This window comes from Homo sapiens, chromosome X, assembly GCF_000001405.40.
Source record: "Homo sapiens chromosome X, GRCh38.p14 Primary Assembly".
Taxonomy (NCBI): domain Eukaryota; kingdom Metazoa; phylum Chordata; class Mammalia; order Primates; family Hominidae; genus Homo; species Homo sapiens.
Genome location: NC_000023.11, coordinates 103,321,299 through 103,347,167, shown reverse-complemented (window position 1 = coordinate 103,347,167; position 25,869 = coordinate 103,321,299). Strand labels below are relative to the sequence as shown.

At 37.2% G+C, this 25,869-nt stretch overlaps 1 protein-coding gene across 2 annotated transcripts, besides 1 other annotated feature; it reads right to left on the bottom strand.

The window, feature by feature from the left end:
• Positions 1-14,841: 14,841 nt before the first annotated feature.
• TCEAL7 (transcription elongation factor A like 7) lies at positions 14,842-16,929 on the bottom strand. Of its 2 annotated transcripts, none has more exons than NM_152278.5 (3): positions 16,864-16,929; positions 16,128-16,245; positions 14,842-15,791 (listed from the first exon to the last, which is right to left on the bottom strand). In NM_152278.5, exon 3 carries the CDS (start codon positions 15,762-15,764, stop codon positions 15,462-15,464), a length of 303 nt encoding a protein of 100 aa, NP_689491.1. In that variant the 5' UTR covers positions 15,765-15,791; positions 16,128-16,245; positions 16,864-16,929; the 3' UTR covers positions 14,842-15,461. The 2 variants fall into 2 exon arrangements, with proteins under 2 accessions (NP_689491.1, NP_001335187.1); NM_001348258.2 differs by having other exon boundaries at positions 16,128-16,191.
• Positions 15,914-16,413: an enhancer, noted in NCBI's record as "H3K4me1 hESC enhancer chrX:102585683-102586182 (GRCh37/hg19 assembly coordinates)". NCBI's record gives its function as "activates a minimal SCP1, AML or CMV promoter by ChIP-STARR-seq in naive H9 embryonic stem cells {active_cell/tissue: H9 hESC(naive)}" and the evidence as "EXISTENCE:reporter gene assay evidence [ECO:0000049][PMID:30033119]".
• Positions 16,930-25,869: the final 8,940 nt, after the last annotated feature.

Below are 25,869 nucleotides of genomic sequence, written 5' to 3'. Positions count from 1 at the left end.
TATAGTTATGTATTACACATATTAAGAGTCTGAAAGTATATATACTAAAATGAAGCTGTTATATTGCAGAATTACAAATGGTTTTACTTTTTCTCCTTAGTAACTGTATTTTTCCAAAATTAGTATGTATTACTTGTATCCCTAAGTAACCAATGTGCCAATCAGCTTTAAAAACTGTTACCTTTCAATAAAAACTTGTTAGAAAAACAAAAAATTAATTTCAAGTTAATTTTTAGAATTTCTTATTCAGCAACATAACCCAAGTATATATTACCATGATATTACTTTAATGGGTCACCCTTACTATCTGTGAAAAAGGAATACTATTTGCCCCCCATGGGCTGCTGAGTGGATTAGGTGAGGAACTGAATGTGTGGGTTGTGTTGGTTCAGATCCTACCCTATATCCTACTCTTTCAGAACCCCAGACCCCTGAAAACGCTCAAGGAAAGCTAACCCATGTCTAACCCATGCCCAGGAACAAGTTCAGGCAGTCAAGACATAAGTGTCACCCTTTTCTGGATACTTTCATGTCTTCTGGACATTACTGCTATTTCTCCTTTGTCTTTTTCATTCTGCTGACAGCTGTTGGTGTGTTGAAGTCCTCAAGATTTCAAAGCCCCAGTGATTTCCCTGGGATTATAGTTACCCTTATGAAGATGAGTACCACACAAATGTGGCTCAGTAATTGGTATCTTAACAACGTTCTTCATAAAATGGGTCTTTCTTATTTTACTTTTAGGTCCTCTGCTCTCCAGAGGACTCAGACATGATTCCATTTGGTTGGAGGATACTGAATCAATACAAGCATATGAGACTTCATTAAAAAAGTAAATGATGGATAAAATAAAACGAAGACTTGAACAGCTGAAGCTAGCTACCTATCACCTTAATTATAATAAAAAGATGTTGTTTATATATTCACTACTTTTGGAAGTTGCCACCTATGTTAGTAGTGGCAATTTCCAAAAGTAGTGAGACAACATTGGCTTTTTATGTCTACCATGCTCTTGCAAGAGGTGACTTCTCTCTCAGGATATTCATAGCTTTTCATACAAAAAATTCTGGGCACATCTACCCAGTAGGGCAACAGATGTACCCCAAAGCATATAAATTACAGAAATATTCACCTTAGATCAAAACTGAGTAACACCCCAAGACTGATCTCCTCCCTACATAAAAGCATTTAAAATAATCGGTAAGATAAAAAATTCATTAAAAATATTAGAAATTACTCTTCTACAAAACTGTGTCTTTCTCATAGCAAGTATAGTCTTTATCACCTGTACACTCGTAGTATCTATTATAGTGTCTAACATATTGTGGATGTTTAATACATGTTAAATATGGGCAATATTACTCTGTGGGGACTCTCAAGTCCTTTGCCAAGATCTACTCTTGACTAAAGAACAGGAAATAAGTCTCCTCATTTCCCTAGAGGCAAAGACTTGTATTTCTTTCATTTATTTATTTTTAATTTTTATTTATTTATTATATATATTTTTTGAGATGGAGTCTCGCTCTGTCGCCCAGGCTGGAGTGCAGTGGTGCGATCTTGGCTCAATGCAACCTTTACCTCCTGGATTCAAGCGATTTTCCTGCCTCAGCCTCCTGAGTAGCTGGGATTACAGGTGTGTGCCACCACACCCAGCTAATTTTTGTATTGTTAGTAGAGACGGGGTTTCACCATGTTGGTCAGGCTGGTCTCGAACTCCTGACCTCGTGATCTGCCTGCCTCGGTCTTCCAAAGTGCTGGGATTACAGGCGTGAGCCACCCTGCCTGGCAAGACTTGTATTTCTAAGGAGCCTATTAGGGGAAGGATGACATGCCAGATTAAAAGATGAATATAATTTAGCATGATTTTAAAAGAATGTCACACAGACTGCCTGTTTCAGAATCCCTGTCATCTTTCTTGCTAACAGGACAGACTTTGGCATCCCCCAAAAGTTCCATGACTCAACTTCTAACTGGGTGCCAAAACAATTATCATGCTCCCCTGAAAGATTCTAATGCACACTAACACTGGAGAACCACTGGTAGTACAGAGGAAGCACAATAATATTGAGTACAAATATGCATAGAAAAAGATTGCAAGGAAATACGTCAAAATGCCTAAGAGCCTAGCAATACATATATCACAAGATGTAAATTATCCTATTTTATGTTAGGATCCTATATGGTTTGGATCTGTGTCCCCACCAAATCTCATGTCGAACTGTAATCCCCAGTGTTGGAGGAGGGGCCTGGTGGGAAGCAATTGGATCATGGGGTCAGTTTCTCATGAATAGTTTAGTACCATATCCCTTGGTGTTGTCATCCTGATAGTGAGTTCTCATGAGATCTGATTGTTTAAAAGTGTGTGGCACCTCCCCCACTTCCTTCTGCTCTGGCCATTTGAGATGTCTCACTCCCCCTTTGCCTTCGCCATGATTGTAATACAGTTTCCTGAGGCCTCTCCAGAAGCAGAAAGGTGCTATGCTTCCTGTACAGCCTGAAGAACTGTGAGCCAATTAAACCTCTTTATTTATAAATTACCCAGTGTCAGGTATTTATTTATAGCAATGTGAGAACAGACTAATATGGGTTCTATTTTAAAAATCTTTCAATATTTCTCACATTGGGATACATCATACAATAGATGTGAAGATATTATGTGATGGTTTACTTTTTCTCAAAAAAGTGTTCCTGAATCCATGATGTATGTTATAGATGCTGTAATTTAATAATTAAGAAAGTAAGGTGTATACATGCATGTGTGCATATTCAATAGAAAAAGTGTAACATAAGTCACCATATCAGAATGAATATTTGATTAAGGGTGATTTTTCCGTTCTTTTTTTTTTCAAAGTCAGTTTTTTTATTTTTAAAGTTTTTGTACAGTTTCAATCACATTGCCATTAAAAATTCTGAATACCTCTGTATTCATGTTAATTTGAAATATGCAGAATATAATGGTAATAATGGTAATAATAACAATACTCATAACATACTTTTAGTGTGAGCCAGTGTTCTAAGTGATTTACAGGTATTAATCAATTAATTCCTCAAAAGAAACCAGTGAGGGCTATACTATCAATGACTCCACTTTACGTAGGAGGAAACTAATGGATGCAGAGTTTACCTGAAGTTGTTCAGCTAATAGGTTTTAAAACCAGGATATAAGCAAAACTGTTTGGCTCCAGAATTAGTGCTCTCAGTCTCTCAATAAAGTAAATAATAAATACATTAAAACCATGACTAGAACAGATGGAGACAGCCACTTGTTTTCCTAAATATAATTTTTAAATTATGTATATTTTTAAAATTTTAGCAGTGTCAAATCCCAATCCCAATCCCATTGTTTTTTCTAAGGGGAATGATGTTTTCCCTCACATTGGATAAAACTGGGCATAATGGAGATAATCGGGTGATTGATGCTGGGAACTGAAAAAGAAAAGCAAAGGCAAATTCTCTAGCATAAGGACTTGAGAGGTCACAATAAATCCAGGTTATGAGAAATATGAAATTAAGGAGGAGTTGAAACTATGAAGATATGGTTTGAAACTATGAAGCTAGAAATGGTCGAAACTATGAAGCTAGGACACAGAGAAAAGCTATCCAATATAAAATTAAGACACTTCTCAGCAGTGGAAACAGAAGGTAGATACTTACTGCCTGAATGCAGAATTCATGAGGGAGAAATGTGCCAATAGATTCCTTCAAAATTTTTGACCCATAAACATTTTCAAAAATAAATAGGTATTGTACAGTAAAGAATATCTCCTAACTTGTTTACGATATAATAGTGGATTTTTCTCTTTTAACACAACTGGGATAAACTTAAAAAGTAAAGTAAAGGGCCACCTTGTGACCAGAAACAGCACTGCAGTTTGTGCATCACCGATCAGGAAGTCTGAGGCAGAGAAATAGTGTTCATCTTGACTAACAGGGCAACTAATTTTGGACCTGTTGAGACTGACATACTCTTAGAACATCCAGGAAGAGAGTTCCACTGGAGAAATGGATAAAAGTCTGTAGGGCCAGAAAGGGGTATGGGCTAGAGGTGTAAAATTCAATGTCATTATCCCTAGGACTGTAGCAACAACTACAGAAATGGATGAGATCAGCCAAGGAGAACATAGAGACTGATAAGAAATGGGACTTTCAACATTTAGGGCAGGAATATGGCTCAGTTGCTAAGAGTCCAGGCATTAAAACCAAATCCAAACTCTGTTCTTTTCTAGCAGTTAAAAAACGTTATAAACTCCTTTTAGAAACTAATGAGAGCCATGTGCTCTCTCCTCAGCACATGCATACACCTTGAACAAATGTATATAACCGTCCTTGAACAAATGGGTATACTCACCCACATACATATACGGGCGCACATTTTTTTTTTGAGACAGGGTCTCACTCTGTCACCCAGGCTGGAGTGCGGTGGCACAATCATGGCTCACTGCAGTCTCTACCTCCCAGGCTCAAGAGATCCTCCCACCTCAGCCTTCTGAGTAGCTGGGACTACAGGCCTGCAGCATCATGCCCCGCTAATTTTTTTTTTTCTGTTTTTGGAGAGACCGGGTCTCGCCATGTTGCTCAGGCTGGTCTTGAACTCCTGGGCTCAAGCAATCCTCCTGCCTCAGCTTCCCAAAGTGCTGGGATTACACGTATGATCCACCACATCTGATGGGCACACAATTTTGAACGCAAGTTTAGGAAGTCCGTAGTTTTACTCTGTTAAGATTTTATGGCCTAATTTAATCAATAGAAATGTAAAACAGGAGAGTCAAATAGAAAACAAATAGTAAGATGAGAGACATAAACACAAATATACCAATAATTAGAATTAATGTAAATGAATTGAACACTCCAAATAAGATTGGATAAAATTATGAATTATATGCTGTTTATAAGAGGCACACTTAGATGTAAGAACAGAGAATGGCTGAAAGTCAAAATAAATACATGCATGCAGTAATCAAAGGAAAGCTGGTGTAGCTATGAAAAAAATCAACAACGTAGACTTAAAGACAAGAAATATTTCTAGAGAAAAAGAGATATATTTGATAGTAATAAAATATTTAATCTAACAGAAAGATATGAAAATTCTGAACCAGTATGTTTCTACTAACATTACTTCAAAAATACAAGACAAAAGCTATTAGAAATAAACGGAGAAATAGAGAAATGTAAAGTCTTTGTGGGACATGTAAACATACCTCCTTAAGTAACTGATAGAATCATAAAAATTATCAGTTGAAGTATTGAAGATTTAAGCAATAAGAGTAACAAATGTGACATTATGTTACATAGAACATAACCTACAAGTGCTGAATATAAATATTTTTCAGGAGCAAATGTAGTGTTTACTAAAATTGACCTTATACTAGGCCATTAACCAAGTCTCAACACATTTCAAAGTATTGAAACAATTCAGAATATGTTCTCTGATGACAGAAAAATAAAGCTAAGAATTAATAACAAATAGATAAACAAATCTCAAAGTGTTTGGAAATTAAACAATACACTTCTTAATGATTTGTAAATAAAAGAAGAAATGACAATCAAATGTGCCATTCTCTTTAAATGAATGAAAATGAGAATGCAACACATGAAAATTTGTGGGAATATAGCTATATCTGTGCTTAGTAAAAAATTCTATGCCCTCAAATGCATATATTGGAAAAGAAGAAAGGCTGAAAAAATACCACTGATCTAAGTTTATCTGTAAATAAGTTTTGGAGAGTACAGAGCTAATGCCCAAAGACTAGGAGAGGTGTTCTAATTTTTTGTTAGTTAGTTCATTTTTGGTTTTGTTTTTTCAGCTCCTGGCATTCAAGGAAATATATGTCAAAACACTGGCTGAAGACAAGCTAAAGGAACAGAGACTTCTGCAAACAATAAGGAATACAGTATTTGCAAAAATAGTTTAGAAAAGTCACTAAATAAACAACTACAGCCTTCAACAATCAAACACACACACACACGCACACAACCTTGGAGGAAGAAAGATCATCTAATTTCCAGAATTAAAACATTATATTATTCAAAGGTTCACTTTTCAACAAAAAATTACCATGCATATAAAAAAGAAAAGTATAGCTCACTCAAAGAAAGAAAATAAACTGATAGAAATGTCCCAGATATGAGCCTTACCACAAAATACTTTAAAGCAAGTGTTCTAAATATGCTCAAAAGCTAAATATGGTCAAAGAATAAAGAAAATCAGGAATACAATCTGTGAACAAAATTAGAAAGAGAAATTATAAAAACAAACCACACAAAAATTCTTCAGAAGAAACGTACAATAAATAAATGTACTACAACTGAAAGATGTGAGTATTTCTAGAAGTTTGATAAACTCAGAGTAGGAGAAACTAACATGTGGGAATTCAAGATGAGATTTGGGTGAGGACACAGCCAAACCATATCAGGCTATGTGGTCTCTAGACACCAATTTCTACTCACACCATCTCTACCTTCTCATTTCATTCTTCCCCATCATATTACACATTTTTACCTTGGGCAGTCTGAGAGGTCAGAAGTGGCACCTTCACCCCGGGACATTCATTTCCCTTTCTTTGGTTACCAAAGAGAGGCTACAGTTTTTCTTTGGGTTAGCAGCCATTCACACATCTTCTCTGACAAATTTTCTTTTTGTTGCTTATGCTCCCCAAACATCTACCTCCTAAGTCCACTTCTTTTTTCCATAGTCACTGATATTCATTTCATCTGTGCTTTGAACATGCATGAAATTAATACAGAGCAGGATGTAGAGATGGGATGAGTGTAATTGAAGTAAGGTTTTTTGTCTTAGTATTTTCTTGCCAGCTTCTCTTATTCTGATAATAAAAGAATTAATAAAGCTTTTTTTATTTAGTGAAAGCAAGCATTCAAGGTAAGAAAAAAATACATGTTTTCTAAAGAAAATCATTTGTTTCAGTAGAGATATGACATTACCTTAATTGTCCAAGTTTGTACTAAGTACAAAATGTGTTTGGCTACATACATAATAAAAGTTTTCAGGTTTTTAAAATAAAATGAATGCACCTGGCCTGGAACATGTATCATACTATCCCCTCACATATAACCTACCCTAGTTCACTGGGCTTTTTAACCATCTTTAAATCCAAGGGGCCACAAGTGGTATCACCACTCTATGACTGGTGTTTGCCTTTTCTTTGATTACCAGGGAAGGTCTTCTGCACTCTCTGCCCCAACTCCCCACAGCCAACACACAAACCCTAGGCACACTTGTTCTCTGCCCTTATTTACAGTGCTCAAGTGGAAGCTGTCTTGGACCCTGTCTACTTTATCCCACCTGACTTGCGGAGCACAGTCTGCTGAGCCTTTCACCCCTGAATTCCACATCTCTAGAGCCCTAGGAGGTGCCTATCCTTGCTGCAGTGTTCCTGCCTGCCAGTCCATCTCCCTGGGGGCCCCTCAGCCAGGCTTAGGTCAGTGTTTAAGAAGCTCTCACCTGCTGACCACATTGATTAACCTAGATCAGGCGTTCTCAACTGGAGATGTTTGTGGACCACTTGAGATTGCATCAAAGTTACCTGTGAGTGTGTGTGTGTGTGTGTGTGTGTGTGTGCGCGCGCACATGTCTATTAAAATCCTTTGCCAATTTTGGGGCCAGGTGCGATGACTCACGCCTGTAATTCTAGCACTTTCGGAGGCCGAGGTGGGTGGATCACTTGAGCTAAGGAGTTCAAGACTAGCCTGGGCAACATGGCGAAACCCCATCTCTAAAAAAAATAAAAATAGAAAAAAAAATCCTTTGCCAATTTTTAAATTGCATTATTTATATTTAAATTGTATTCTGCTGTTGAGTTGTAGAAGTTGTTTATGTATACCGGATACTAGAATATATAAATTTATAAATTAAATAAATATATAAATATACCTATCTTATCAGATACATGATTTGTAAATGTTTTCTTCCAACCTGTAGGTTGGCTATTCACTTTCTTGATGGTTTCCTGTGGTGCACTAAAGTTTTAAATTCTGATAAAGTTCAACTTATCTATTTTTCACTTTATCATGGTTTTGGTATCATTTCTAAGAATTCGTTAAAAAATACAAGGTTATGAAGATTTATCAATATGTTTTCACTGGAAAATCTAATTGTTTTGACTCACTATATTGGTGTCTGAGCATTAGACAAAGCAGGCACCTCTCCCAGTCTTCACAGACTGATCTCATGAAGGAGAAGACCTTCACCAATCTGCCTAGCCAGAGATTTTGGAGACTTCTAACTCTTTCCCTCCCCATGAGGAAACAGACAACGGTAGTTTTTGTTCTCTCACTCTGTGCTGAGCCGTGGGATTGGGGGAGGATCAATGGTGTCTCTCAGTCCAAGCTGCTGTTTCATTCTCCTTTGGGCATCTGGACTGTGCTGGACCTGTCAGAGCTCCAGGCCTAGCAATACAATGCTATTTCTTTGGTCAGCTTCAGAGAAATTGGGGGTGCTGGATGTGCTGGTCGCCTGTTTCCCTCCCTAGGGGAAAGCTGAAAACTGGAAGTTTTCATCTGCTAGTTTTGTGCTTAGCAGGGGTGAGAATCAATGGAATCACCAGCCCAAACCACCACCTCTGTTCTTTCCTGGGTGTCTAGACTATGCTGAAGCAATCAGAGCTCCAAGACTGGCAAGACAGGAGCCAGTCCTCTGGAGAACCCCTTGGTAAAGTAGGGGTACTAGACATGTGAACCAACCCTTTTTATCCCCTGGATGAAGCTGGAAGTTAGGGGGTTTCCTTCTGACTGTATGACACTGAGCTGGGGGCAGGGTATCTAAAAGAGGGTGTCCCAAATCTCCCTATCAACTTATGTGAGTCTGGTTTTGCATTCTCTCAGAGTGCAGGAGCATTTCAATTAGCTTCTGATTTATCACAAAGGAAATTTGTGAATTGTTGCTGAAACAGTGTATTTGTTGGCAAGTTAGGAGAGCTTTCTATAATGCCATCTTGCTGATGACACTCCCTCTATTTTATTTATCTTTGTTCTAATTTCTACTATTTCTTTCCTTCTGATAGCTGTATATGTAGCTTCCCCCTTTTTGTAGTTCGTTTAGATGTAAAGTTAGGTTGCTGACTTGGAATCTTTATGCTTTTTAAATGTAAGTGTTTAAAGCTATAAATTTCCCTCTGAGCATTGCCTTTGCTACATCCTATAAGTTTTGATAAGTTGTGTTTCAATTTTACGTCATCTCAGAGTATTTTCTACTCTTACAATTTCTTCTTTGAGCCATTCACATATGTGGAATTCCAGTTTTCTGTCTGTTATTGACTTCATGTTTCATTCCATTTTGGTTGGAGAAAATGCCTTGTGTGATTTTATTGTGTTTAAATTTATTGAATTTTGTTTTGTGGCTTCAATATGGTCCATATCCTAGATAATGTTCCATCTGCCCTTAAGAAGAATGTGTATTTTTCTGTCATTAGGTGGGACGTTTTACATATGCCTGTTAGGACTAGTTGGTTTATAGTGTTGTTCAAGTCCTCTATTTCCTTATTGAATGTCTATCTAGTTGTTCTGTTGTTGAGAATAGGATATTAATCTAACCCCACTTGAAGCAAGAAAAAAAGCATAAAAAAGAGAATAAGATATTGAAATTTCCGACTATTATTGTATAACCATCCATTTCTCCTTTCAATTTGTCAGTTTTTGTTTCGTGTAATTTGGGGCTCTGTTATTAGGCGCATATATGCTTAAAATTATAATATCCTCTTGATGGATTGACACTTTATCAATGTATAATGTTCTTCTTTATCTCTATAACAATTTTTATTTAAAGTCCATTTTGCCTGGTATTAGCATAGCCACTTCAGCTCTCTTTTGGTTTTTATTTACATGGAATATCTTTTCTCATTCTTTCACTGTCAAACAATTTGGTCTTTGAATCTAAAAAGAGTCGGTTTTAGACAGTGTAGAGTTGGATCATGCTTTTTCAAATTCTGTTCTGCCTATCTGCCTTCTAATTGGAGAGTTTAGTTCTAATAACCACGTTTTCTAGTTTCTGTATTTGATAACTGTGATATCTGGGACTTGTTGACCCTAAAGGGACTGCTCCTCCCAGGGTTAGCTAATTCCTAGCTATAGCAAACAACTCAGCTGTGAGCACCCCTTTCATTTGCAAACCAACCAATCCAGAACCCATACCACCAAATATCTCCTTTATCAGGCTCTCACTAATATCACACTAATTATCAGCACTAATCACAATAGGGCCAGGTAACAGACAGCTAGAAACAGCCTTTTATCCCTGAGCCATTGAAATGGTTCGAATTAGCCAATTCCAAACCTACCTATGCTGCCACACTTGTTTCTTCACACACACACACACACACACACACACACACACAAAAGCAAAACAAAACAAAAAAACAATAAAGCCTCTTGCCCTCATTTTTTTTTTTCTTCACTTGCTCTGCCCATGACTGACTCTGGTGCTTCCTCATGTGGCCCTGTGTGTTATGGTATACTTTCTGTTTCTAGGTATCTGTGATTATAAAAAGTCTTTCTTCATGACAGTCATTTTTGTGTCAGTATATCTTACCATATTTGATTAAAACAAATCCTGGGTACTTTTAAAACATTAATTCATTTACACTTAAAGTAATTATTGACAGGGAAGGATTTACTTCTGCCTTTTTGCTATTTGTTTTCTATGTATCTGCACCTTTTTGGTTCAATTCCCCATTACTGCACTTTTCTGTGGTTAATTGAATTTTTTTCTTGTGTACTTGTTTGATTCTGTTATTTCTTTTTTGCATATTTTTAAGTTTTTTTCTTTATTGGTTCCTCTGGGGAACACAATTAACATCTTCGTAGCACATTTTTCTTTTATATAACAATACCAATTTATTTTCAACACAAGAACTCTATTTTTTATAGCTCCATCCCCCCTTTATGTTGTTATTGTTACAAATAATATATTTTTACCAAGTGTGCATATTAACATAGTTTTATAATTATTGTTTTATGCATTTGTCTTTTAAATCATATAGGAAAAAAAGAGGAGTTATAAGCCATATATGCCATACTACTTGCTTTTATATTTTCCTGTGTAGCTACCTTACTGTTGTTCTTTATTTTCTCATATGACTTTGGCTTACATATCTTGTATCCCTTTATTTCAGCTTGGAAGTCTTGTAAGACTTGGCAGAGGTCAGTAAATACATATGCAAATGAATCTACCTTCTATGATATAAATGTACCTTAAATTATTCAATCAATTCCCCATTAATTAACATGAAATTATTTGTATGTTTTGCCACTAAAAGCAATGCTGCCTGCAATGAACATGCTTGTACACATACTTTTCTTTTTATAGATGAGATGCCTGAAAGTAAGGTTGCTTGGTCAAAAAGTATGTGTTCTTTTACATTTCCTAGCCTCCCTTGCACATATGTTGCAGCTATAGAATGTAACATAAGACACTTCTAAGGCTTATAAACAACCCCAGGTGATCCTTCTGCTATCCTTCTGGTAACTTTGGAAACCATGTATGCCATCTGGAATACCAGACTACAGGACAAATGCAGGTTAGATACCCAAAAAAGCAATAGAGCAGAGCCATGCATGAGAGACAATAACCCTCACTGAAATTATGACATGAAAGAATAATCAACTGTTTTTAAAATACAGATTGCATTTTTAAAAAATTAACTAAGCATAGTCTAGTCCATCCTAATATACTGATTTAAACACACTTCCAGTTTGGATCTCTTCTTTACAATTAAATACTTAACCAGTTTGATGGATATCCATTCAGAAATTTATATATCTCTGTTTTGCATTTTCACTAAAGGCTATCATAGAGAATCAACTGTCTTATTGCCTTTATTCAGCAATATTCCTGGAGATGCTTCAATATACGAATGTCATTCTTTTTAACTATTGTGTAGTTTTTCTTGGTATGGATGAACCACAGTTTGACTATTTTCCGATTGATACCTTAGTCTGTTTTTAATATTTTGGCTCTTACAAACAATGCCACAGTAAACATCATTTTTGCTTTCCCGTGCATATCTGTAAATATATCTCTACAGTAATTCAATGTAATGGAAGTGCTAGGTTGTATAGTTTGCACATATTTTACTGGTTTATCTTTTTCTTTTCCATTTCTAAAAGCTATTGGGATATTAGGGATATTTTCCCATTATCTGTCGTGGTATTACAAATATTTCTTCTCAGCCTATTTCTTCTCCTTGTACCTTTTATATTTTTTCCTTTATAACCTTCGGGTTTCTTTTTGCTTAAGAAGATAATCACTATCACGAGATTATAAAAATTGTTTTCTTGATTTTTATTGTGCTATTTCATTTTTGTTTCTCAGACTTTTTTATTTAATCCACTTTGGATACATTTTTGTGTATGCGGGGAGTAGGAATCTATGTTCATTTTTCTTTTGATTGAATAGTCCATAACGCTCAATTCTTAGGTTAATTTTTTTTGCAAATACACAAAAGCCTTAAGCAAATATGCATATAGCTATACATTTGCTCATAACTATGATTACTTTCTTAGGACAAATTCAAAGCAATAGAAGTTAGGTCCTAGAATATGAAAAATAGACAGCATTTCAACTTATTGTGAATAGAAGCACAAAAATGGATGCCATTATTTACTCTCTCATTCAGTATGAAAATGCCTACATCTGCAATAAAATTATCATAAGTAAACATTTGTTTGCCTATTTGGTAGTAATATCTTGTCATTTTTATTGTTTCTTTTTAGAATTGTCTTATTGCCTCCTAGGAAAGCTAAATAATGTTTATTCTCCAAATAGATTTATTTGGGTATCCTATTTATATGGGTACCCTACTTATGTCCTCTGCAGAATTTTTATGGTATGATACCCCCATTTTACTTTTTAGGAGCCCCTAATTATCAACTATTAACCAGTACGGTCTTTGATTATAAGAAGACTCCCTCTGTACAGCCCAGATGAAACAAAGTCTATGATGTTTATCAGGAAGTAGTGGAGACCATGATTTCATGGGAATCCCAAAATGAAGATTCCAGGGCCAAATGCACAGAGATTTTATCTCAGTGTGTTTGCACGTGTATGTGTGTATATGGAGAGATATGTGTTAGAATTTTACATTTTTGTTTAAAAGATGAGGTGTTGCTATGTTGCCCAGGCTGACATGCAGTGGCTATTCACAGGCATGATCATCGCACACTACAGCCTCAAACTCCTGGGCTCAAGTGATCCTTCTGCCTCAGCCTCCCCAGTAGCTGGGACTACAGGTGTGCACCAGCATGCCTGGCTAGAAATTTGCATTTTAGAAGCACTCCAGATGATTATAATGTAAGGAGATGACTTTTTGAGAGGGGCCAGCTATTTAACATTTGAATAATTTTATAGGCTGAATTTGGGGAATAATCCCTTTCTTACTGGGCTCCTTTTAAAAATATAGTTTCTAGAGGAGTTATTACCAACTTAATGTAATCAGAAGTAAAACTGGGCACTATAATTCTAAGTACACATTTATTAAATACCCACTGTATGTTAATTTATTAAATGCCCACTGTATGTTAATAAGATTAATAGATTAATAGAAGTATAATAAAAGATATGATGTCGTCTTTACTTTGAGATGCAAAATGTAAAAAATCCTGTTTAGAAATAATGCTTACATTTCTATACATTTACATATATATGCTTTGTAAGACTAATATATATATACTAATGTATATTAAGACTACATATTAATATATATACTTATATATGTAATGTAGACATTTATATATTATATATACTTACATATAATATGTAATATAGACATTTATATATTATATATACTAATATATATTAAGACTATATATATGCTTATATATTAGTCTTACAAAGCATATATATTAAGCTTAATATATATGTATTAGTATACATGTCTTACATAGCATATATATTTATATATGTATATGCACATATATATTTATATATGTATATGCACATACACATTTATGTGCATGTATACACACACACACACACACACACACACACACACATCTTAGTCTTATGAAGCATTTTTGCATGTTTCCAGGGAGAAAAAATGAAAAGCAGGGATTTGGTTTTAGATTTGTTTCCTATATCACATTGTGCAATTTACACATCTCCCAAGACTATTCTGAACACACTAAGTCAGGCCTGCCAGGAGCCTTCAGGAAGAGATTATCTCACAAGAGGACAAAGCCTCATTCCTTAGACTTAGAGCAGCAACTCTGAATACAGCATGATGCCTTTGACTTAAATTTATACCCTAGTCCAAATCCCAAGTGGACTCATCACATCTGACTCCTATGGAGAGGAAGGGTCTTGTGATTGAAAACAGATGGGGCTGTTTTACTAAGGGCTCTGAAAGACATTGTGGCCCAAGCAACCCTAGAGAAGTCCCACCTGTGTTAAATGTCACTATAAAGCACAGGAAGCTTTAGACGACAAGAGTCAGAGTTCAACCCACTGACGACTCCAGGGAATTCGGTTGGGTTTTGGCCCTGAATGACTGCAGTGCATCAGCAGCAGTGGGGCCAGCAGAGAGCACAGGGCCCAGCAGAAGAGGCAGCAGTGTTGGGCAGGTGTGGCAGGACCCAGGGGAGGAGACAGGGCTCAATAACAGAGGACTGATAGGGAAGCCCCCACCTCTGCCTACTGGACTTGTTCCGGAGTACAAGTTGAATCATGCCAGGCCCTCTCTGAAGTTATTGGTGTATTCTATAGTGGGTTGGGATTCTGTATGCACAGTGGGGAACAAGATCCCACTGAGCACAGCTGGTTACTGCCTCATTTCCTTCCCACAGCAGCCCTGTGAGGCAAATATTTTCCCTATGAAAAGACTGAGTCTTAAACGTGTGTATCTGTAATAATTACCAGTTTATTACTCTGGCTAAGAGATCCAGAGGTAATTGGAGGTTTACATTTCATTTTTACGCTTCTGTTATTGAGAGTTTATTAAGTGTTTCATTGCCTTCCAAAGGCGATTGACAAGTTCTTTTACTGTCTACTTTAGGGTTTTTTGTGACACAAGTAATATACACACATAAACATATATTCATTTTTTGGCAAGTGAGAAGATGCAGATAGGCAAAAAGAAAAAAAAAGAGATCACACAGAGATTCACTGTTAACCTTTGGTGTATAATAAAATCAGACACTTTCCTTTGCATTATGTCACATAGAAATGTACAAATAAAGTGTACATATATACACACATATATGTATACACTGTTTTGCAACTCGTTATTTTCACTTTGCAATATACAATGAGCATTTTTCCATGCAAATGAATGAGACCTCTTATTAAATGAATAAGATTGGGTCAAAAGATGAGATGTTGACAAGAGTCATATGTAAATCTCAGCAACATCGAATGACTGGAGTAAAACGATAGCAAATATTTATCAAGAAAGTGCAGACAAACAGAAAGCAGTGGCAACATTAATAACAGAAAATAATTGAATTGTCAGAGAAATTAATTAAATGGGATAAGGACGGTCCCGAGAATGCCTATGGTTAGAATGCAGAGCCCTAAATTTCTTTCTCAGACCCCTTATCTCTTCCAAACACCTTTCCATCTCATCTCCCTCCCTTGTCATTTCTTCATCTTTAAAATGCCTATAGTCTATGTCCTCTTTAAATTCTTCGAGAGACTGAAGCAGCCTCTGTCTAAAATTCCCTTCTGTTTGCTGGCGTTCAAATTCTCCATACGGGCGTTTTTCCTCCCTCTTTGGCACGCTGCACTTTGGCTTTCCTTCGTTTTCTTTGCAGGGTTTTTGCATGATGTTGTTGTTGTTTCCTGCTTAACTCTAGGGAGAAAATGTAAAGACAAATTGCTTCATTACTTTTGAATCACGATTGTCAGTTTCTCTCTGAGGCAAGATACTTTCCCATCTCTGCCCCACAGGTCCAGACCTCATAAGTCTGCGGCAGTTCCCTCCACCCTCTCATCTCCCCCTTTTCTCCCCTCCCACCTCAGGAACCCACCGTTTCCCCAGCAGACAAAGCTAATGGCCTCTCCAATAGGCAGGAGAGGCGGAGCAGAAAAGGAGATGGACTGCGAAGCCGCAAATTTCGCCTAGCTTTTGCCCCTTCCCGACTCCTATCCTCAGAGATCTCAGTCTAAGTGCCTCTCTCATACTGACCTGTGCGGGGTAGTTTCCTGCTCCTTTTCTTCCCCCAGATGTCTGTGAACACAGATCCTGGGACCTCCAAACAAAAAGGAAGGGGCGGGGAGGAAGGAGCTATCTGTGGATCAACCAGCTCCAGAGACAAGACAGACGTTATTATTTTGAACCTGGGATTCTCATCATCACCGTCATCGCCCCCCGGATTTCTACCTCCTGGCCCCTCCTTCCTGTCTGTATCCTTTCCTTCAGGATTTCCGTTTCCACTCCCCACTCCTCACCCTCAGGCCTGGGCCTTGCAAGGCCCGCGTCTCCCTCCTTCGCCCCGTCCCGCGCCCCACCCCACCACCACAGGCCGGCATTGAGTGAGGTGAACTATTTTCAAATGATCTCTAAATTTCTGTTGTCTCCATCCCGGGATTTCAGCCTTTCTCCACACACCAACACATACCCCAGGCCTAAAATTTTCTCTTAACAAAATTGGAGAAAGATGAGGAGAAGGATAAAAAGAAAGCATGCCAGGGTGAGAGAAGCCGATTATTTCAAAGCTGTCACTAAATCTCTAGGTGTCTCTCAAAAGATTTCGACCTACCCCCTTGCTTCCCCCTGCAAAAGATACAATTATCTCCGACGATTTTGCAGCGGTTTTGGGAAAGCAAGTCTGGACCTATTCCAGTCATTAGATTCACCCACTACTGACCCCGGGGGTCCAGTGGTTCCTTCACTCCAACCTGCTGGGATTTAAGGAATTTACCTCTTCCTTCCCTTGGCCACAAGCACGCACGGCACGCTTGTCTGCAGGGCAGTAAGGAGCTGGTACCCAGAGGAGAAAGAAGCCCGGGAATATAAGGACTTCGGTTCACGTCAGCTCCTGATCACGTGAGGATTATGTCATCCCCCATCTCTGGTCCCCACTTTCCCCTCCCACCAGCAGCGCTGCAGAAGTGGACCGGCTTACCAACCTCCCACCCCACACCACACCAGGCCCTGTCACTCATTTTTGTCTTTGCTAATTCCAGAGGTCAAAAGTGGCGCCTTCTCCCTGTGGTCAGAATTTGCCTTTCTCTGATTACCAGGGAGGGGCTGCATTTTCCCAAAGTTATATTAACCATTGTTACTTTTTTTGTGGTTGTGCTGAGAGGGAGGATTACTTATCCTTTTCTAAGCTACAAGAAAAGAAAAGTGGCAGTCTCCTCCATCCAATCGCCTCTCAGCCACTAATAGCCATCATTTCCCTTGGAGTCCAATCCTTGAAACCAGATTGGAGGGAATGGGGTGAATTAGGAAAGGAGGTAATGATTTGGATTGTGCTTCTTACTTTTGTTTTGATAATTTCTTATTCTTTTCCAATTTTTCCATAAACTTATTATATACTTTTAATAATCAGAAATATGATAAAGATATGTACATTTGGAAAAAGATTCCAGATAGGAGGATAAAAAGGCCAGCCACCTGTTTCTGCTGCTGAAGTCATAATATAAATATAGACCCTTTAGGCAGACATATTTTTTGAAGTTTAAGATGTACAGGTCAGTTGGAACCTACTCTTTTGAGGGGCTCCCGGGCATGTGAGGTCCTTCCATTAGGTGAGTCACTGAGACCATAATCCTACAGCACCTTGCCCTTAGATTTCCAGATCGCAACTGTAAGTCACAAATTTTAACTAGTTTGAGCTCAGTATCATGCCCTCTTTCTTCCAGTTTATACCATACACATAACCCTTTTTTCTTCAATACTGTACCCCTAATATCCCAACTTTTTTCAACACTCTCATTCAGAAAAGAATAGTTTTTCATTTTCCCTAGACATCTCCATCCTATTTATGTTTTCCATGACCTTATTTAGCCATACTGATGTATTGAAAGCTACTTGTAGTACTAACAAAAATTAGTCACATTTAGCCACCCAACACACTAAACTTTTTGTTGCTAAGGATTTGGGTACTTGTCTAAGTAGATTTGCTCTTGATTTGTTAGCTTGAAATATATGCAATAGAAAGGGAGATGTGTAAACTTCTCATAAGTTGTTTTTAGGAAGATTGCAGCTCATTATGAATATAAAGTTACCACTAATCAGTTTGATATAAATGACTCCAGAAAAAAGTTCAGTGGTCAGAAAAAAGTCTTAAAAACAGTAGAGCATCATTGTCACAGTTATTAAGGAATGACTAGTTGTGATAGAGGCAAAAAATTCGTTTGTGGGGAGAAAAATTCCTGAATCCTCTGTGAACAGCTTTTCATGCAGATGGTTAGACTCAGAGTTATAAAATGGCTGAAGGATTCGGGTGTTGAAGACTTTGCATATTAGTAAGAAGAATGGCATTGGACAAATCCTAGTTTGAATTAATTGTACTTACTTAGCTTTTGTATAAACTTGAATGTAAAACTTGGATACTGCAACTTCTCTGTGCTTCATCTATAAAATGAGGCTAATAGTTTGAAGTATCTCACAGAGTTTTCAGGACTAAATTACATATTTAATATGTGTAAAACATTTAATACATGACTGACAAGTACCAAGGCAGCCTGAAGCCTAAATATGTGGGGGCAGGTCTGGCACCAGGGATGGGGGAGGTGGGTGAAGCTGAAGCCTGCAGCCCAGGGGGTCAGTTTGGCAGTGGGGCAGGCCTAGACACTGAGTTTTTAGAGCAGGCCTGGAGCCTGGGGCTGTGGGATCCAGACTAGTGCTAAAGCAGGCCTGGAGGCTCAGTCTGCAGGTACTGGCCTAGAGTCTGGGACCATGGGGGCGGGTCCAGTGCTGGGTATTACTGGGATGGGCCTAGTGTTGGGATCCAAGAAAAAGTCTGGTGTTCACTTCCTTCTCCTTCCCCCAAGTGGATGGTACCTCCAAGCTGTGCAGCCTGGGGTTCAGGAAGGGGTGATGTGGGTAATGTAAAACTTTCCTTCCTATCCTTTTCAATGTGTTTTTTTCTTATTTCTGTTCTATACCCAGGTGCTGTAATCTGCCAACTGGTTTCCTTAGCTCTTGCGAAATTATTTTTGTGCCCAGATAGTTGTTCAGATTATGTTTCTGTGGGAGGATGAGTGCAGGAAAGTCCTGTTCTGCCATTTTGCTGACATCTAGCTCCTCACATCTCAATTAATTTTTAATAAGGCATGAAAAAAGGGTAAAAAGGAACAATAATAAGATGGGACATCTGCAAGCAAATAGCAAAATACTAGTTTTAAATCCAATTGTATTAATCATTACATCAAACATTAATTGCCTAAGCATGCCCGCTAAAAAAGAAGAGTGTAGTGGTTGACTTTGGGTGTCAGCTTGACTAGATTAAGGGTTACTCAGATAGCTGTTAAAGCATTATTTATTCTCAGTGCTTCAGTGGGCACTGAGCCAGTCTCTCTTCTGCTCAAAGGGAAACCTAGGTGATTTTGCTTTCGATTAAAATGATTGGGCTTCCTCAGGTGTGTCTGTGAGGGTATTTCCAGAGGAGATTTACATGTGAATTGGTGGATTGAGTGGGGGAAGAGGGCAGCCTCAATGTGAGTGGGCACCATCTAACCGGCTGAAGGACCAATGGAACAAAAAGGTGGAGGAAAGGTGAATTTTCACCATTTCTCTACTGGAGTTAGGAAAATCTTCTTCTGCTGCCCATGGACATCATAACTCCAGGTTCTCTGGCCTTTGAACTCCAGGAACTACACCAGCAGCCACCCCCCACAACCCTCACCATACACCCAACCTGGGGCTCTCAGACCTTTGGCCTCAGACTGATAATTACACCATTGGATTCCATGGTTCTGAGGTCTTTGGAATTGGATTGAGCCACACTATCAGCCTTCCTCACTCTCCGGCTTGCAGACAGACTATTGTAGGACTTCTCAGCCTCCATAATTAAGTGAGCCAATTCCCCTAATAAATCCCTTTTCATATATTTCTTTATGTATTCTACCAGTTCTGTCTTTCTGAGGAACACTGACTAAAACAGAGAGATTGACAGATTGGGTAAAAATGCCAAACCACTTGTTTGCTTTTTATAAGAAACAGGCTTTTCTTTTCTTTTCTTTTTTTAACTTTTATTTTAGGTTCATGAGTATACATACAGGTTTTTTTTTTTTGTTTGTTTTTTGTTTTTTGTTTTGAGACGGAGTCTCGCTCTGTTGCCCAGGCTGGAGTGCAGTGGCACGATCTCAGCTCACTGCAAGCTCCGCCTCCCGGGTTCACGCCATTCTCCTGCCTCAGCCCCTCGAGTAGCTGGGACTACAGGCTCCCGCCACCACGCCCAGCTAATTTTTTGTATTTTTAGTAGAGACGGGGCTTCACCGTGTTAGCCAGGATGGTCTCTATCTCTTGACCTCATGATCCGCCTGCCTCGGCCTCCCAAAGTGCTGGGATTACAGGCGTGAGCCACCGCACCCAGCCACATACAGGCTTTTTATATAGGTAAATTGCATGTCATGGGGGTTTGGTGTATAGATTGTTTTGTCACCCAGGTTAATAAGCATAGTACCCAATAGGTAGTTTTTTCTATCCTCACTCTCCTGCCACCCTCCACCCTCAAGTAGGCCCTGGTGTCTGTTGTTCCTTTCTTTGTGTTCATATGTATTCAATGTTTAGCTCCTACTTATAAGCAAGAATGTGTGGTATTTGGTTTTATGCAGAAACACATTTACAGACACACATTGGTTAATAGTAAAAGAATGAAAAAAGAAATAGTATGGAAACACAAATCATAAGAAAGATGGAATGGTTAGATTAATATCAGCACAGTAGATTTCAGAGCAAGAAATGTCCATGGACAGATGAATGAATAAATAAAGCATGGTATATACATACAATGGGATATTATACAGCCTTAAAAAGAAAGTAAATTCTGATACATGCTACAACATCGACAAACCTTGAAGACATTATGTTAAGTGAAATAAGCCAGGCAGAAAAGGATTGATATTTTACGTTTCCACTTATATGAGGTACCTAGAGTAGTCAAATTCATAGAGACAGAAAGTAGAACAGCAGTTGCCAGAGGCTAGGGGAAGCAAAAAAATGGGGAGTTACTATTTAACGGGCACAAAGTTTCAGTTTGGGAAGATGAAAAAGTTCTGGAGATGAACAGTAGTGATGGTTGCACAACAATTTGAGTGTACTTAATGCCATTGAACCATACACTTAAACATGGTTAAAATGGTAAATTTTAAGTTGTGTATATTTTACCACAATAAAAGCATATTTTATAAAAATGAATGGGAAACCTTTGGATTAAAAGAGAATTAAGAGACATATCAAGCAAGGGTAATGTGTGTTAGATCCTAACTGAAACAAATGTAACAAAAGAAACCATGATAATTTATGGAACAAGTGAAAATTTGAACACTGAATAGATATTTGATATTAAGGAGTTATTTTTAGGTGTAATAATGATATTGTGGCTAAATTTAAAAAGGGCTTATCTTTTAGATATACATACTGATACATCAACAGATGAAAATATATGCTATTTGGAATTTGCTTTGAAATAATATGGTAGGAAAGAAGTGGGTGGGAATAAAAACAGGTTGACCATAAATTGAAAATTGTTACAGCATAAAGGTGGATACAGTCAGGTTTTGTTTTATTTTTCTAAACTACTTTTGAATATATTTCAGATATAACTGACAAAAAACTAGTATCCAGAAAAAAATGTTCTGTTGAGAGTATAAATGATGCAATCACTTTGGAAAGCATTTTGGCATTATCTATTAAAAGTGAAGATACGGATACCTATAACCCAGCAATCCAACTTCTAATAAATACCCATTAGAGATGTATATGAATGTTAATGGAAACATTATTTGTAAATAACCAAAAATTTGAAAATAATATCCATAAAGATGAGAATGAATAAATATGTTATATTCATGAAATGATACAGTAAATGGCAATGAGAATGAACTAGATCTATACATAAAAACATGGATGGGCATAACTCACATAATTTGAGTACTATAAAGACTAAATAAATAAAAACAGTATGATTAAATTTACTTAAAGTTAAACTGCAGGCAAAAATAAATGGTTGGAAGGGCATTTATAGGTGGTAAAACTCTAAAGAACAACAAGGAAATAATGACTGTAAAAGTTAGGATAACGGTTACCTCTGGGAAGAAGGTAGTATTTTGTAATTAGTAAAAAAAATCACCTGATGGGTTACAGGTGCTTGCAAAGTTCTATTTCTTGACCTGAGTTTGGTTATATGTTACCTGGATGTTTGTTTTATAATTATTTATTTATGATTACTGCATTTTTTAATAGATGTGTTACAGCTCACAATTTAGCAGTAAAGACATGCTGTCGAGATAATTGGTTAATACTTTAGGATAATATAAATTTTCCCGATCCTAAAAAGACATCTGAATGAATTAAACATTTAGATGTTAAAAATTTGAAACAATAATAAGCTAAGAATAAATAATAAAAGAAAGATTAACTTACTGATAAGGCAAGAAAATGTATTGAAAAATTAGAATGTATGAATATGAAAATACAAGTTTTATGTGGGTGTGGATGAATAGGAAGTTCTCTATACTGTTATTGGGGGTAGAAAATGATGTTATAATTCTGAAAGCAAATCTAGCACATCTAAGGATTTACCTAAGGAACTAATAGGGAAGATCCTAAAATACAGTGGTATAAGGTGGCAAAAATATATTGAGTACCTGATCTTTGCACGAGCTTTGTTGGTGAAAAGCAAGCTTACTTTAAAAAAGGAAAAAGAAAAACTAAAAACAACCAAAATGTTCATCTATAGCCAATAAAATGTAGTTAACCATATAATAGAATATTATGTAGCCATTTAAAAAGATCAGGTATATCTAACATGTCTAATGTAAAATATTGCCAAGATACATTGTTCATGGTAAAAAGAATATAAAATAATATGAAAATAATACCAGATACATAAAAATATGTACTACCCTGTCAAACATGTTTATCCCTGGGTAATGAAATTTGACAAATGATAGGTCCTTACACCTATGGAACTCAATGAAAGGCGATCACAATAATTGATTGTATGTCCACTGATCTGTGTCAGTTTTGAGTGGATGGGTAGGTGGGAAGGATACCCATGAGGACATGGTATTTGCCATCTAGAGACCTCTGAAAAACCTCAGCTTTGGTGGTTTTCTGCTATGTGCCAAGCATAGGCTAGGTGCGTAAGCCAGTGCACTATCCCATGTAACCCCTCATCAGCCTATAAGGTAAAGATTCTTTTCTACATTTAACACATGAGAAATCTGATGCTTGTCTATGGTTACACAACAGATCATCTGCCTGTGTTGTCTCCTCCATGCCCATTTGGCTCAGTTATTAACCAGTTCCTGTGGGATTTATACCTGGGCTTCTTAGCAGCTCCTGGTGATTATCAACTATGTAAGAAAATAGATGCTGAGTGAGTTAGTACCCATGGGTAACTCAAAGTGTGCAGGATACTGACACAATTTGAAATGCAATGTTTACAATTTTTAAAATATGAATATTTAAAACAAATATTTTTAAAAGGTGGCCACTGAAGCCATTTGGAGTATTAGGGGAAGGGGGCAGAGGGGCTCTCTTGTCTATGGTTTTCACAACTAGATGTCTGAATTAGTCAAGGTTCTGCAGAGAAATAAAACCAATAGGGTGTGTGTGTGTGCATAGGCTCATGGAATAGATTCATGCAATTATGGAGACTGACAAGCCCAAAATCTGCAGGGTAGGCAGGCAGCCTGCAGACCCAAGGAGTGTTGATGTTGCAGTGCCAGTCTGAAGGCTGTTTGCCAGCAGAATCCCCTCTTGCTCAGGAGAGGTCAGTCTTTAGTTCTATTAAGGCCTTCAGCTGATTGGATGAGGCCTGCGCACATTATACAGAGCAATCTGCTTTACTCAAAGTCCACAAATTTAAATGTTAATCTCATCCAGAAAACACCCTCACAGAAACATCCAGAATAATGTTTCAGCCAATAGTAGGGCTTACCACTTCAAAGGAACAAATAGGAAAAGATAACTTATTTTGTTAGCTTAACGTTTTAAATTCAAGTTAATCATGAAAGCTTTTTTCCTCTGTAACCAGAGTGCGCTTTCATGCTATCTGGACTCACTTGAATAGGACTTACAGAGTATGTTCTCTGAATACCAAAAATGTACTTAATTAAAAAACAGAAACATTAAATATCTAGAAAAAGCCACAAATATTGTAAATAACCCATAGGTTAAATAAATAAATTACAGACAAAATAGAAATATTTCAAACTCAACGATAGCATATCAAATTTTGGAGATGCTGTTAAAATGGTGTTTAGGGAGAAATTTGTAATTTTAAATGCTTATATTAGAAAAAAAGAGAGGTCTAACATCGATTATCTAAATTTTTATGTACAAAAGCTAGAGAATAAAAGGATATTAAACCCAAAGTAAATAGAATAAAACAAATGAATATAGAAATATGTCATTATTTATGGATATTTTTGAGGAGACTTAATACCATATTGTTAAGATGTCAGTTCTCCTTTCCCAAGTGATCTTCAGATTAAATGCAATCACAATCAAAATCCAAGCAGGAGGGCCGGGCGTGGTTGCTCATGCCTGTAATCCCAGCACTTTGGGAGGCTGAGGCAGGCAGATCACTTGAGGTCAGGAGTTCAAGACCAGCCTGGCCAATAATGGTGAAACCTCATCATACAAATCCTACGGAAACTATTCCAAAAGTAGAGGGGGGACTACTTCCAAACTCATTCTACAAAGTCAGTGTTACCTTGGTATCAAAACCAGACAAAAGACACATCAGAAAAAAAAAAAAAGAAAACTACAAGCCAATATCTTTGATGAATATTGATACAAATAAACTTTAACAAAATACTAGCAAACCATATTCAACGATACATTAAAAAGATCCATTCATCATGTCCAAGTGGGATTTATCCCAGGGGTGCAAAAATGGTTCGACATACACAAATCAATCATTATGAAACATCATATTAATAGAATGAAACACAAAACCATGTGATCATTTCAATTGATGTTGAAAAAGCATTTAATAAAATTAAACATCCCTTCATGTTAAAAGCCCTACAAAAAACTGGGTATAGAAGGAGCACACCTCAACATAATAAAAGCCATATACAACAGACCTACAGCTAGTATCCTACTGAATGGGGAAAAAACTGAAAGCCTTTCCTGTAAGAACTGGAACAAGACAAGGATGCCATGTCCACTTTCACCACTGTTATTCAACATAGTACTGGAAGTTCTAGCTACAGCGATTGGACAAGAGAAACAAATAAAGGACATCCAAATTGCAAAGGAAGAAGTCAGGTTATCCTTGTTTGCAGATGATATGATCTTATATTTGGAAAAACCTGAAGACTCCACAAGAAAACTATTAGAGCTGATAAACAAACTCAGTAAAGTTGCAGGATAAAAAATCAACACACAAAAATCTGTAGCATTTCTGTATGCCAACAGGAAACAATCTGAAAAAAATACAAAAAAATCCCATTTACAAGAGCCACACATAAAATAAAATGCCTAGGAATAAACTTAACCAAAGGAGTAAAACATCTCTATAATGAAAACTATAAAACACTGATGAAAGAAATTGAAGAGGACACCAAAAATTCAATATTGTTAAAAAGTCCGTATTACCCAAAGCAATCTACAGATTCAATGCAATCCTTACCAAAATACCAGTGACATTCTTCACATAAATAGAAATAACAATCCTAAAATTTATATGGAACCACATCCTGAGCAAAAAGAACAAAACACGAGGAATCACACTACCTGA